This window comes from Homo sapiens, chromosome 1 (assembly GCF_000001405.40).
Source record: "Homo sapiens chromosome 1, GRCh38.p14 Primary Assembly".
NCBI classification, from domain to species: domain Eukaryota; kingdom Metazoa; phylum Chordata; class Mammalia; order Primates; family Hominidae; genus Homo; species Homo sapiens.
In genome coordinates this window covers 120,416,371-120,430,608 of record NC_000001.11, presented here as the reverse complement: position 1 = coordinate 120,430,608, position 14,238 = coordinate 120,416,371, and the positions used below count along the sequence as shown (strand labels likewise).

Below are 14,238 nucleotides of genomic sequence, written 5' to 3'. Positions count from 1 at the left end.
CTAATTTTTTGTATTTTTAGTAGAGATGGGGTTTCACTGTGTTAGGCATGATGGTCTCCATCTCCTGACCTCATGATCTGCCCACCTCGGCCTCCCAAAGTGCTGAGATTACAGGTGTGAGCCACGGTGCCCCGTCTGTTGAATTTGTTTATAAGCACAACATGTATTTAGATGTTACTTTAAATGAAATTGTATTCTTATTTCATTTTCCAAATGCTCATTGCTAATATACAGAAATACAAAAGACCACTTATATTGAGAGCTTACATTCTGCAACACTACCAAACTCACTGATTAGTTCTGGTAGATTTTTGTAGATTTCTAGCATTGTTAACAAACACAGTCATTATCTGTGAATAAAGACAGCTTCAATTCTTTCTTTTCAATACTTTATTAATTTTTCTTACTTTATTGCATTGATTTAGACCTCTAGTATAATGCTGAATTAAAAGAGTAACAACAGGTATTCTACTTTTTTCTCTGATTTAATAGAAAAGCATTCAATCTTATGCCATTTAATATAATGTTACCTGTGGGTTCTTCAAATCTGCCCTTAATGGGGTTGGAAGTGTTGCCTTCTGTTCTCATCATGCTGAGCATTTTCTGGGGTTTGTTTTTATAAATCATGAAAAAAGTTTTCAATTTTGCCAAATGCTTTTACTGTGTATGACAAGGTAATCATACAGTTTTTCTCTTTTGCCCTGATAATATATAAAATGATATTTTTTAAATATAAAAAAGAGGCCGGGCATGGTGGCTCACGCCTGTAATCCCAGCACTTTGGGAGGCTGAGGCGGGCGGATCACACTTGTGGCAGCATTGAAGGCTTCACTCTTCCCCAAGGGATCCAATCTCCCCTCAGTCAAGAAGCTCCAGGTATCTGAACTGGATGCCAGGTCAAAAATTCCCACTATGGTGACTCCAACAGGTCTCTGTCCTCAGAACTAGAGCTTTTCTAATTATTACATAAGTTGACTTCTTAGTAGATTTCCCATCCATTACATCCCAGACACCTCACAATGATTAGTAACCACCACATGTCCCTGCCTCTCAAGGAAATCCCTCCCGCCATGTCTCTAGACAGCCAAGTCCCACGGCCTGTCCTCTACTCTTCCAGAACCCTGTTGTTCTGACAGCAGGGAGGGCAAATCCATGCAGCATCTCCCGCCATGACCTCCAGCCTGCAGAGGAGAGGTGCCACAGGACCTTTACACGCACGCCGCTGTTCCCCTCACCCATGCATTTCTTAATGCCTTGGTGAGGAGAATGCCTCTGGGTCTTCCTTGATGGGAGCTAAAGGAACAAAGGTAAATAATGCTATGGGACCCACTGAGAATTGGGGCTGTGGAAGAGTGGCCACTGAAGTAATAGACAGATGCAGCTATTGCCAGATACTCAGTGCCAGAGCAGGGAGGGAGAGGGAAGAAATACGGACCTCACCTTCCTCTCACTTCCAGGCTCCATCGGGTGCCCCCACTGCTAAACCTAACTACAAGTGTGCACACAGGGGAGCCAGGGATGCATTCTAGAAGGGACAAGCCCCAAGTGGCATAAGACAGGATGGAAATGAGTGGAGAGTGGATCTGTGGGAAGGAGGAGGGGATGTTATGGGGAAACAAAAGGAGAATACTAGCTAATAACGCTAGGTGACACTAATATCCCCAAGTCTGTGTTCATATTCGGAAAAGACAGCTCAGTGTAAAGCACTCAACCAGGAGTCAAGATATTGTTATTTTCAACTGTTGTTCCAACAGTTGTATTATAAAGGGTTAGTTTATTTCATGCCTTTCTAATTTGACATAAAGTGCTACATGGCATTGGGGCTGGTACAGCCTCGCTCAGTTATGGGTTGAAGAGTACACAGAGACTGACAGGCTGAGGGAACGTGCAAGAGAATAGAAGAGATGCTCACAGAGAACCACAGACCGCATGGCCCCAGAGTCAGGGGCAGCATCAGCCACTGTCGGCTGCTCATTTGTCCAGACATAGCCCACAAGCCTCAGCCATGCTTTGCTTCTGCAAGATGCTTCTTCACCTTTTCAATAAACCTGCCTGAATTAAAGCTGATGGGAGTTTATTTCTCCTTCATCATAAAAGAAATTCTTCACCACAACAATCTCCAATGAATTGTGGGCACAGAAGGCAGACCCATCCCTGCTTCTCTTCCACTATCTCCCCTGTAGGTTGAAAAGGAGGAGGTACTGAATTACCTCCAAATGTTCCTCTGGCTCTGATATTCTGTGACTCTGGTTTCTTTTTGGCTACTTTGTTTTTGCAAGCATGTATCCTAAGGCGTCCAGTTGAAAAACCTTTGTCTACTGTGTCCAGACATTCCTGGTGGTATTTCAGATAAGACACTCTTGGGTTGCTGCACTCACAACCACTGAACCAATTCTATGACCATCTGTTTCATGGCCACCTGTTTGCTCATTTTCTATGTACATAAAGGGAGGGGACAGACAACAAATTTGCATATTATAAACCGTATCATCTTAAAAAGGAAACAAGGCAATATTTTGCAATAAAACCTTAAGATGCATTAAAAAATTTAAGCCTAATGCAATAAAGAATGCCCATAAAATTATTATCTAAAGAATGTTTAGAAAATTGTTGAACAAGGGACATCATCATTTAAAGTGATACAAAGAAAACTCAGCTAAGCATATGGGCTAGATTAGAGAGAAAAATAAAGGACCCATCTCTGCCCTGGAAAAACTACTGGTAGCATCTTTCAGAAAGCTCTCTGTGTTTGAGTACGCACCTTGATCCATAGGCTCACATTTGATCCCAACTGGCGGCTGCTTCTTGGCATTAACTTTGGATTCCCAACCAGTAAATCTTAGCAAGATCTGAGTTTCTCCAGGTATGATATTATTTTGTTTGACCATCCTTATCTTCAAGGGCTACCAAGAAGAAACAAATCATTTATTTACCTCCCCAGAGGAAAAGGTTTTACCAATGAGACACTTTCTTACCATGACCCCAGGGCCCCCATGCCCTGTTCACTTGAGTGCCCTGTGTGGCCTGAGAGAAGCTCATACTGGTCACAGGATTCTTTATATGATTAACCTCCTTCCTGAATCCCAACTTTATGGTGGTGGTGATGACAGGTATCCCATGCTCATGTCCCTGAAGTCATCAGCCTGTCTCCAGTTAGAAAAAATTACATGTATATAGAGAGGCCTCTTTGGAAGTAGCAAAAGCTTTCTCACCTTCATACATTAATGGTTGGAATGTACAATAGTATAAACACTTTGGGAAAAAATGTCTGGCATATTCTTACAGAACTAAACAACTATCTATTCTATGACTCACTAATTCCTAAGCATTTATCCAAGAGAAATTAAAACATATGTCCAGAAAATGATTTATACAAGAATGTTCATAGCAGTTTTATTCATAATAGGAAAAACTGGAAACATTCAAATATCTATCAATACAAGAATGGATCAATAAACTGTGATACATTCATTCCATGGAATGGCTAAAGGAACAAACTTTTGACACACAAAACAACATGGATGAATCTCAAAAACATTTTGAGTGCAATAGGAGCCATACACAAAACAGTGTGAGAAAAATGATAAATAATAATGGTTTCAAGAAATGCAGAGCAGAGAGCCCAGAGGCAAAGACCCACAGGACAGAGGGTCAGTCCCAGGCTGTGGATCCTAACTAAGAAACTCCTGCTGGATTTTGCCCAGCTCCATTTCCAAACTATTTTGGGTTAGTGACTTCTTTATCCCCTCCATGTTCCCTCATTTTGAACTAGAATCACTGTAGTTGTTATTCTATGTCTGTCCCATCATTTCACATTAGAGGCAGATAAGCTGTTTGTTCAGTTTCACAGGTCGACAGAGGTAAGGGAATTATGTCAAGGATCTGCACTTAATGGACACTCTCGGAAGCCTCATTCACACCTGGTGTGGATGTTTTAGATGGGATTTTAAACTTTTGATCTGATGTGGTCTACATGACATTTTTCATGTTGAACTAATGCTTTAATGACATGAAATCTGGAAACCTCAGGGGAGAGGGTAAATGCACTTTGCAGATGGGGGAATGTGAGTGTCCTACTGTGGTAGATGGAATTTCTGAAATGGTCCCCAAACATGCCACACCCTTGTCTCTAAAGCCTCTTAAGGTGATGAGACACCATTCCTGTGACTATGTTGTTATATGCCAGTTATATGACTTTAAGATGGTGAGGTTACCGCATGAACTCGATCTAATCACATCACTCCATACATGACAGAGCTTTGTGTGGCTGGTTGGAGAAGATGAAGTCAGAGAAGGTGGGAGCTTGAGAAGGACTCCATGAGTTGTTATTGGTTGAAAGATGAAACAGACAGGTAAGGAGGAAAGCACGTGGCCTCTGGAGTCAGAGTAGACTGTCTCCCCGCTGACAGCCAGCACAGAAAAAGGGCCCTCAGTCCCCCACAAACAAGAATAGGAACTCTTTCATTATCTGTAGTGAACCTGGAAAAATAGCTTGAGCTCTAGGAAAAAAACACAGCCAGCCCATTCCCGGATTTTAGCCTCACATGACTCTGATCAGAGAACCCGGCCACTTCATTCCAGACTTCTGTGGTTTCAAACCACTGGTTTGTGGTAATGTGATAATAGGCAGCAAGAGAAAACTAGTACAGGTGCCTGTCTCTCCTCTTGAATTTCAATTTCAGATAAATGTATGCTAACCCTCTAAGAGAAAAAAATCAATCAACCAATCAATGAAAGAACTACAGTAAAAATATTGCCCTCACCTTTATGTGGCTGTTCCAGAGCCCTTGCCACCTGAAGAAGACAATGAGGGGTATTTCAGGCACTTGAGGAGTGTGGCTTTACTGTTATCAATCACATTTCTGGAAGAATAAAAATGGTTCAGTGAAGGGATGGGTTGCCCCTCCACACCTGTGGGCGTTTCTCATTAGGTGGAAGGAGAGACTTGGAAAAGAAAGAGACACAGAGACAAAGTACAGAGAAAGAAAAATGGGCCCAGGGGACCGGCGTTCAGCATACGGAGGACCCATGCTGGCACTGGCCTCTGAGTTCCCTTAGTATTTATTGATCATTATCGGGCATTTCCAGAGAGGGGGATGTGGCAGGACAATAGGATAATAGTGGAGACAAGATCAGCAGGTAAACACGTTAACAAATGTCTCTGCATCATAAACAAGGTAAAGAAAAAAGTGCTGTGCTTTTGATGTGCATATACAGAAACATCTCAATGCCTTAAAGAGCAGTATTGCTGCCAGCATGTCCCACCTCCAGTCCTAAGGCGGTTTTCTCCTATCTCAGTAAATGGAATATACAATCGGGCTTTACACCGAGACATTCCATTGCCCAGGGACGAGGAGGAGACAGATGCCTTCCTCTTATCTCAACTGCAAAGAGGCCTTCCTTCCTCTTTTACTAATCCTCCTCAGCACAGACCCTTTACGGGTGTCTGGCTGGGGGACAGTCAGGTCTTTCCCTTCCCACGAGGCTGTATTTCAGACTATCACATGGGGAGAAACCTTGGACAATACCTGGCTTTCCTAGGCAGAGGACCCTGCAGTCTTCCGCAGTGTAGTGTGCCTCTGGGTACTTGAGATTAGGGAGTGGTGATGACTCTTAACAAGCATGCTGCCTTCAAGCATTTGTTTAACAAAGCACACCCTGAACAGCCCTTAATCCATTTAACCCTGAGTTGACACAGCCCATGTCTTAGGGAGCACAGGGTTGGGGGTAGGGTTACAGATTAACAGCGTCTCAAGGCAAAAGAATTTTTCTTAGTACAGAACAAAATGGAGTCTCTTATGTCTACTTCTTCCTACACAGACACAGTAACAATCTGATCTCTCTTTCTTTTCCCCACAGTTCAGGTCAGGCCGTGGCTCGTGTCTGTAATCCTAGCACTTTGAGAGGCCAAGGCAGGTGGATCACTTGAGGTCAAGAGTTAGAGACCAACCTGGCCAACATGAAGAAACCCTGTCTCTACCAAAAATACAAACATTAGCCAGGTGTGGTGGCAGGCGCCTGTAATCCCAGCTATTCAGGATGCTGAGGCAGGAGAATCACTTGAACTCAGGAGGTGGAGGTTGCAGTGAGCTGAGATGGCGCCGTTGCATTTGAGCCCAAGGAAAAGAGAAATAACTCCATCTCCAAAAAAAAAGATAAAATAAAGACGGTTCACTACTTAACTCCAAATATTATTATGTGAAAATGTATCATCTCAATTTTAATAGCAGATTTTAAAAAATTCCTTTTCTTGTGCTCACCAGACAAGGTTTGGTAACAAATACCAGTCACCAGCACAGATGAACCAATTCAAGGAGAGCCATAAACAGGACTACTATTATGTTTCCCCAAAAACCATCCCTAGAATGCAATCTCTTCTCTACTTGTCACAAAACGAACACAATAGTCCACTATATAAAGTCCCAAACACAGGAAAATGTAAATATAATGAAATCTGCTTTCCAAATGTTTATTTTATTCAGACCCAGTCATGGGGACCAGGGATTAGGAAATGACTACAAACAGGTTCAAGGGAATTTGGGAAGTGACAAAATATGCTGAAGTAGAACTCTGCTGATGGCTGCACAATTCGATAAATCAACTTACATCATTGGGTTGTACATTAACAATGGGGGACTTTTATAACAAGTAATTCTTTAAACAAACTTTTGGGTTTCTATTTCAACATGGAAAGAGCTAGGCAGTCATCACTTGTCCTCACAGCTAGAAAAAAGCTGAACAAACTGAAAGTCAACCCTTCTAGGGTGGATCAGAGAATTGAGGTCACAGGGAAAACTGCCACCTTAAAAATGAGAAACACAGGCTAACACACAAGGAGTCACAGCTCACAGGGAAGAGAAGCTACTGGGGACAGCAAGTGGGAGGAGCACTTAAATGGTATTGACAGATTACTAGAAGCTGAGGGTAGCCTGGCTAGAACATTAAAAACTCCTTGAAGACCAGACTAAGGGGGAATCTCACACATTTCCAAGTGTTACTACAATGATCTCAACCAGGTTCTCATGATGAAGTTCAGAAAAACTCCCTGAGGTTTGGCACTACCAACTTCAGGACTTACATTAAGCTACAGTAACCCAAATAGTGTGAAGTTGGTGAAAAGAGAAAACACACACATATAGATGCATAGAAAAGAATACGGAGCCCAGAAGCAGGCCTACATACAGTCCACTGATCTTCCATGGAGGTTTAGAGACAATTTAAAGCAGCAAAGATAGCCTTTCCAACTAGTGGTGCTAGAACAGCTGGACAACCACATGCAAAAAAATAAATAAATCCAGGTATGCATGTTATATACCCTTTATAAAATAAATCTTACACGTAAATGTAAGGTGCAAAACCATAAGAATCCTAAGAGATAAAATAGGAGAAAATCTGAGGGATCCTGGGTTCAATGATGGCTTCTTAGATACAAAACCAAAAGCACAATCTACTAATGAAAAAAAATTAAGTTGAGCCTCATTAAAATTAAAAACTTCTGTTGTGTGAAAGACACTGTTAAGAGAATGGAAAAAGCAAGTCACAGACTGGGAGAAAATATTTACAAAATAATCTGATGGAAAAACTGCTGTCCAAAATATATGAAGAATTCTGAGAACTAAACAACACAAAGCAAAAAAAAAAAAAAAAAAGGTGAAAGATCTGAACACCTCATTAATAAGATATACAGATGGCAAATAAGCATATGAGAAAGATGCTCAAAATCATTTGTTGTGAGGGAATTGCACATTAAAACGAGATATCACTGTAAACCTATCAGAATGGCTAAAACACAAAACGGTGAACACACCAAATGCTGTCGAAGATGAGGAACAACCAGAACTCTCCATAGCTAGTGGAAATCAAAAGTGTACAGTCACTTTGGAAAACTTAAGTTCATTCAAAATCCTGCACATAAGTACTTGCAGCAATTTTATCATAATTGTCAAAACTTGGAAGTACCCAAGACATCTTTCACCAAGTGAATGAATAAACAAACTGTGTTGTAGCCATACAATGAAATCTGATTCAGTGATTTTACAAAACAAGCTGTCAAGTCATGAAAAGACGTGGAGGAACTTAAAAGTACACAATGCTAGAAAGAAGCCAGTCTGGAAACCTACATACTGTAATTCCAACTCTAGGACATTCTTGGAAAGTCAAAAAGATAGAAGTAGTAAAATGATGAGTGGTTGTCAGGGGTGGAGGAGAGGAGGAGGCACGAAATGGTGAAGTACAGGGAATTTTCAGCAGTGAAACTATTTTGCATGATGCTGTATTGGGGATTTAGGACATTACATAATTGCCAAAACCCATAATCTGTGAAACTCAAAGAATGAACTCTAGTGTAAACTATGGACTTTAGTTGATAATGATGTATCAATAGTGGTTCATCAATTGTAATGAATGGACCACACTAATACAACATACTAATAGGGGAAACTGTGTGCTGGAGGACAGGGGAGCCTAGGAGAACTCTCTGTACTATCCACTCCATTTTTCTGTAAACCTAGAACTTTTCTAAAAAATAACATCTATTACTTTTTTTTAATTAGGATGCAGCAGCCCCATACCAAGGTTTTGGTGGCATCCTGTTATTGTGTGGTTAGTACTTGGCATTGAAGTGCACCAACCTGGAGTCAGAGCAGTTGGAGATTTCAATGCCTGTGCCATTTACCTCTAACCCTGGGGTGCCCCCAGAACACAGATAGCAGATCAGTTAGGCAGAAGCAGCCTCAGTCATCTAGACAGTGCAGGGTTCTGGTAAGGACAGGTGCAAACCATCTAGGTGGGCAGAACTTGGTGATGACTAGGAACCACTGAGACTCAGCAGCTGCCCCAGTGGCACCCACAAATCAGAGGAGGAGGAGGCTGGGAGGACCTAAGGGCTACAGGACGAGCTCCCTGCCTACAAGACAGAAGCAGCTCCAGAGGTTTTGGTAAGTAATGTAGATTTCAGTGCAGTGTGGTCTATTTAAAAAAGTAGAACAAAAAGGAAAGAAAAAGAGAGAGCATGAGAGACAAAGAAAAAGAAAAGAAGAAAGGAAGAAAGGAAAGAATGGAGGGAGGGAAGGAAGGAGGAAGGGAGGAAGGAAGGAAGGAAGGGAGGGAGGGAGGAAGGCAGGGAGAGAGGGAGGAAGGGAGGAAGAAAGGAAGGGAGGGAAGGCAGAAGGGAAGGAGGGAGGGAAAGAATAAAGAGAGAGAGAAAAAGAGTGGGAGAGAAGTAGGGAGGGGAGAGAAGTAGGGAAGGAAGGAAGGAAGGAAATGAACAAACTTACATGAAGATGAGAACATCCAGGGGAACTTACACCACCAGTATTTTCCATTAACAGGAACACGCTAACTAGTTATTGGAGACAGACGCACTACTGTAAAACTATATACTGTTTCCATGGGGTACAACCCCTTCTTCCTTCTCTGAAACACATTATTCCTCTGGCCCACTGTTGCCAGAGACACTGAGTCTTGTCTTTGGATAAGTTCTGGTGCCCAAAAGAATGAGATGAGACAGTGGATCCCAGAACACCAGGCCGCAACCTTCCCTGCTGCTCCTTGTCCACTCCAGAAGCTGCCCAGCTGCAGGTGGGGACCTCAGCCCCTGGGTCTGACATCGTCCATTTGTCATTCTCACTGGACTTCCCTCCTTGCACTGGCTCCCACTCCCCCAGGACCTGGTGGACGGCCACGTGAGAAGGATACAAACAGGCCATGCCCCTTTCTTTCTCCCCCTCTCAATGCCTGCAGTGGTGGGTTCCATGGGGTAGTGACCTGAGATTTACTCGTTATGGGGTCTCTAGCCCAGAGCAGGGCATGGTGCCTAATAGTCACCCCATGAATGCTCAGTGAAAGAAGACATCCACCACAAGGTCCTGGGGAACCAAGAATTCCACTGTGGCCCATAAATTCTAAGTCCTACAGGATTCTGGAATGGGAGATGGGAACGGCCTTCAAAAGTGGCCTCTCTTTTAACCCATTATACTGGCAACTGAGCCATGTTTCCCCATCCTGGACACATCTAGAGGGCACTGCCTAAAACCACACACATCTCCCCACCCAGGACAGTGCAGGGCCTTAGCCTGGGGGATGCGGGTGGACAGGGAGGGGGTGAGCCATGAAAGCTGAAGAGAAGAAAGCAGGTGAAAGGGGACGGCAGGGTGGAAACAAGAGACGGAAATGGGGGCAGAGAATGGGGGGTAAGAGGGGAAGAGCAAGGAGTGGGATGTAGATCTAGCTACTAAGGAAAAGTCCTGGAGAGAACACTGTCCTCTCCTGAAGTAAAATCACTTCCACCTGACAACAGCACTGCAGGTCGAGGGTGGCACACGCTGTGAATATTTGTTCATTCACTTAACAAATATTAATTCAGTATCTGTTTCATGCCAGGCAAGGCCCTGCGATGTTTAGGGCCCTTGGCATCTTCCCTTCACATCTGAGTCATAATAGAAAAAGGACTCTCTGACTCCATCGAGCTGGCAATGCCTCAGGGTTTTTACCTGTGGGATCTGGCAGCTCTTCATTCGGCCCACACCGTGTGAGGTTGCTCTTGGTGCACCGAATGGGGAAGTTTCTACATCAGTACCTCGGAGAGTCCACTGGAAGCCCTGGACAGTGGGAGTTGGTGGCACCCCCAGCGTGGAGGCCAAGAACACACAGCACTGAAGCTCCAGGACACCCTCAGGAGGACGGTAAGGGACGGTAAGGTGAGAGCCTGGGTCACCAGGAACCTTCGCCTGCATCTAAACAGGATTTGCTTTCAGATTGCCTATGAGATAAAAGAGAGAAATCATGGTTAATATTGAGATTTGGGGCTTCGGCAACTTGAAGGATGGAGCTGCCGTTTACGGAGACTGGGAAGACCCAGGGAGGAGCAGGTTGAAAGGTGGTGGGGAACTAGAATTGTTTGGGTTCCTGTCATATGTAATCAACAGTCCTCACCAGCCTCGGCAACATAGTAAGACCCCATCTCTGAAAATAAAAAATGAAAAATTGGCCCAGCATGGTGGCACACACTTGTAGTCTCAGCTACTCTGAAGGTTGAGGCAGGAGGATTCCTTGAGCCTCGAATTAGAGGTTAGTGAGCTATGATGGCACCACTGAACTCCAGCCTGGGGGAAAAAAAAATAAAGAGTCCTGACTAAATACTTGAGTAGCCAGGGAAGTTTTCACCAAGTAATACTTGAGGCAGATCTTAGTGAACAAGAATTCGATTCTTTCTGTTAGGGAATTAAGAGTGTGTGGGTGTAGTTAATGCTTCTTTGGAATCTCATCTACTGGTCTATCTGGTCTATCTGTACACGTATATTCTACAGGCTGTCTCGCTGAGCTTTCGCTAGGTTATGCTACAGTAACAAAAGCCCCAAAATCTTAGCAGCAACACATACAAAGGTTTACTTTTCATTGACATTTCCTTTTATGTCAGGTTGACTGTGACTCTGCTGTATACAAGCTATTTTATTTGTTAGATGGTGAAAACTGTGACACTTGGAGATTGTTGAATATGGTATTAGTATGTTCATTCATTCATTCATTTAACAAATATTTATTCAATATCTGTTTCATGCCAGGCAAGGTCAAGTACTGAGAATACAGTGGTGAATAAGAGACAAAATCTCAAATTTCCAGGAGCTTATGTTGAAAATGAGATTGAACACATACAAAATAATCATAATAACAACAATGAATACTATATTCATAAATAATAGCTGTAAGAGATTTTAGTAAATCTTTTAAATTAGAAAAACATAAAAATTATTAAAACTAAAATGGCCAGCGGTGATGGCTTATGCCTGTAATCCCAACACTTTGAGATGCCAAGGTGGGAGGGTCATTTGAGCCCAGGAGTTTGAAACCAGTCTGGGCACTACAGGAAAACCCTATCTACAAAAAATAGAAAATTAGCCGGGCATAGTGGTGCATGCCTGTAGAACCAGCTACTAAGGAAGCTGAGGTGGGCAGACTGCTTGAGCCTGAGAGGTCAAGGCTGCAGAGACCCATGATCATACCACTCCACTCCAGCCTGGGCAACAGAGCGAGACACTGTCTCAAGAAAAAAAAAAAATTGTTCGATGTAGTCCTAAAACTATTATGTAGAATACTATTGTTTACATCATATCACGTCGGCCCTTTAAATGGCTTAACGCTTATTTAGGTACGATCCATAAAGTTTTCCTGGTAATTAAGTATACCTAAGAACAATGAAGTATAAAAGAGTTACTGCCTTGACAGGAAGATTGTAAAAATTGTAAAAAGATAAATAAATAAAGAGTCAAAACTGTAGCTCTGTGAGGCTCAAATAACATCTAATTCAAGTCACAATGAACATCTAGCAATCACTGTGAACACCACATACTTCCCTTAATACATTTTCCCTGAATGCCCAACACATCTGAATTACCAACACCCGTATGTAGCCAAGAAACTGACAATCATTTATAAATTATCACCTATGACTCCATCTGCTCTATGCACTTATTTTTTAAATTTTACTCATTTATTTATTATTTTTATTTTTTGTAGAGATGGGATCTCACTATATTGCCCAGGTTGGTCCAGAAACAGAAACAGACCCACACTAATTTCATAAATTGGATGACCATGCAGTCATCCAATTTAAGAAAAAAAGTGCCAAACAGTGAAGAAGGAAAAGGATAGTCTTTTCAATAAATGGTGCTGGATCAAGCAGACACATCCATGTAGTAAAAAGTGAATCACAGCCGGGTGGGGTGGCTCATGCCTGTAATCCCCACACTCTGGGAGGCTTAAGTGGGAAGATTACTTGAGCCCAAGAGTTTGAGACCAACCTGGGAAACATGTTGAATCCCCATCTCTACAAAAAATATGAAAATTAAGCCAGGCATGGTGGCACACTCCTATAGTCGCAGCTACTCAGGAGGCTGAGGTGGGAGGATCGCTTGAGCCAGGAGGTGGAGGTTGCAGTGAGCTGAGATCCTGCCACGGCACTCTAGCCTGGGCAATAGAGTGAGGCCCTGTCTGAAAAAAAAAAAGAAATGCAAAAACTAAAATAAAATTGCTATAAGGTTAACACAGAAAAATGTGTTCATACTCCTAGGTTAGGCATTGATTTCTTAAACAGGACACAAAAAGCAGTAACCATAAAGGAAAAGATTGATAAAGTATAATTTCATTAAAATTAAGAATCTCAGGCTGGGTGCAGTGGCTCATGCCTGTAATCCCAACACTTTGGGAGGCCGAGGCAGATGTCTCACCTGAGCCTAGGAATTCCAGACCAGCCTATGCAATGTGGCAAAACCCCATCTCTACTAAAAATATAGAAAAGAGCTGAGTGTGGTGGTGCTCACCTGTAGGTCCCAGCTACCTGGGGGCTGAGGCAGGAGGATCACCTGAGCCTTGGGAGGTCAAGGTTGCGGTCAGCTGTGATTGTGCCACTGCACTCCAGCCTGGGCAACAGAGTGAGATCTTGTCTCAAAAAGAAAAAAAAAAGTTAGAGAATCTCCATTCATGAATAAGCACCATTAAAAGAGCGAAAAGGCAAGCTACAGATTGAAAAAAGGGAAATGCAATACATATATATCGTAGAAAGGACACATATCCGGAAAAAAGTATTACAAATCAACAGAAAACCAAGCATATCAATGAAAACTGGATAAAAAGATTTAACAGGCACTTCACAAAAGAGGACACACAAATGACAATAAAAGATACTCAATCTCAATACCAGGAAAATGCAAAATGAAATCACACTGATACATTACTGCACCCCTACTAGAATGGCAAAATAATTTTTAACTGACAGGCATCAGCAAGGTTGTGGGGTAACCAGAATATCCCTGCTAAATGGTACAACCACTTTGGGAAAACGTTCAACAATATGTAATACTAAGTTTTATCATTCATATACCTCTAAAACCAACAATGTCACTCCTACAAATATACCCCAGTCTAGTAATGTTCTATTTCTTGATCTGTGGTGGTTCACTTGGTAAAAATTCATTACCTGTACTTTTTTTTTTTTTTTTTTTTTTTTTGGAGACAGGGTCTCACTCTGCCACCCAGGAGGGAGTGCACTGCCATGATCACGGCTCACTGCAATCTCAACCTCCTGGGCTCTGGTGATCCTCCCACCTCAGCCTACCAGGTAGCTGGGACTACAGGCACACACCACCACACACAGCTAACTTTTGTAATTTTAGTAGAGATAGGGTTTTGGCACGTTGCCCAGGCTGGTCTGGAAATCCTGGGCTCAAGTGATCCGCCCACCTT

The 14,238-nt window shown here is 42.6% G+C and overlaps 1 protein-coding gene across 5 annotated transcripts in view, besides 3 other annotated features; it reads right to left on the bottom strand.

Moving 5' to 3' along the window:
• Nucleotides 1–14,238, bottom strand: part of NBPF8 (NBPF member 8) — a 54,650-nt gene that overhangs the window by 39,068 nt on the left and 1,344 nt on the right. For 2 of the 5 annotated variants that reach the window (NR_102405.3, NM_001037501.5), the window contains exons 2-3: nucleotides 10,491–10,759; nucleotides 2,762–2,903 (exon numbers count right to left, since the gene is read on the bottom strand). Coding sequence is in view for 2 of the 5 variants with exons in the window: in XM_047429836.1 (XP_047285792.1) it covers nucleotides 2,762–2,903; nucleotides 10,491–10,733 (385 nt within the window). In the remaining 3 variants the exon portion in view is untranslated. Of the gene's footprint in view, nucleotides 1–2,761; nucleotides 2,904–10,490; nucleotides 10,760–12,797; nucleotides 14,018–14,238 lie in introns of those variants that run through there. The other 3 variants (NR_102404.3, XM_047429836.1, XM_047429843.1) reach the window with 3 other exon arrangements.
• Nucleotides 4,233–4,788: an enhancer, noted in NCBI's record as "NANOG-H3K27ac hESC enhancer chr1:144604484-144605039 (GRCh37/hg19 assembly coordinates)". NCBI's record gives its function as "activates a minimal SCP1, AML or CMV promoter by ChIP-STARR-seq in naive H9 embryonic stem cells {active_cell/tissue: H9 hESC(naive)}" and the evidence as "EXISTENCE:reporter gene assay evidence [ECO:0000049][PMID:30033119]".
• Nucleotides 4,789–5,345: an enhancer, noted in NCBI's record as "NANOG-H3K27ac hESC enhancer chr1:144603927-144604483 (GRCh37/hg19 assembly coordinates)". NCBI's record gives its function as "activates a minimal SCP1, AML or CMV promoter by ChIP-STARR-seq in naive H9 embryonic stem cells {active_cell/tissue: H9 hESC(naive)}" and the evidence as "EXISTENCE:reporter gene assay evidence [ECO:0000049][PMID:30033119]".
• Nucleotides 5,346–5,901: an enhancer, noted in NCBI's record as "OCT4-NANOG-H3K27ac hESC enhancer chr1:144603371-144603926 (GRCh37/hg19 assembly coordinates)". NCBI's record gives its function as "activates a minimal SCP1, AML or CMV promoter by ChIP-STARR-seq in naive H9 embryonic stem cells {active_cell/tissue: H9 hESC(naive)}" and the evidence as "EXISTENCE:reporter gene assay evidence [ECO:0000049][PMID:30033119]".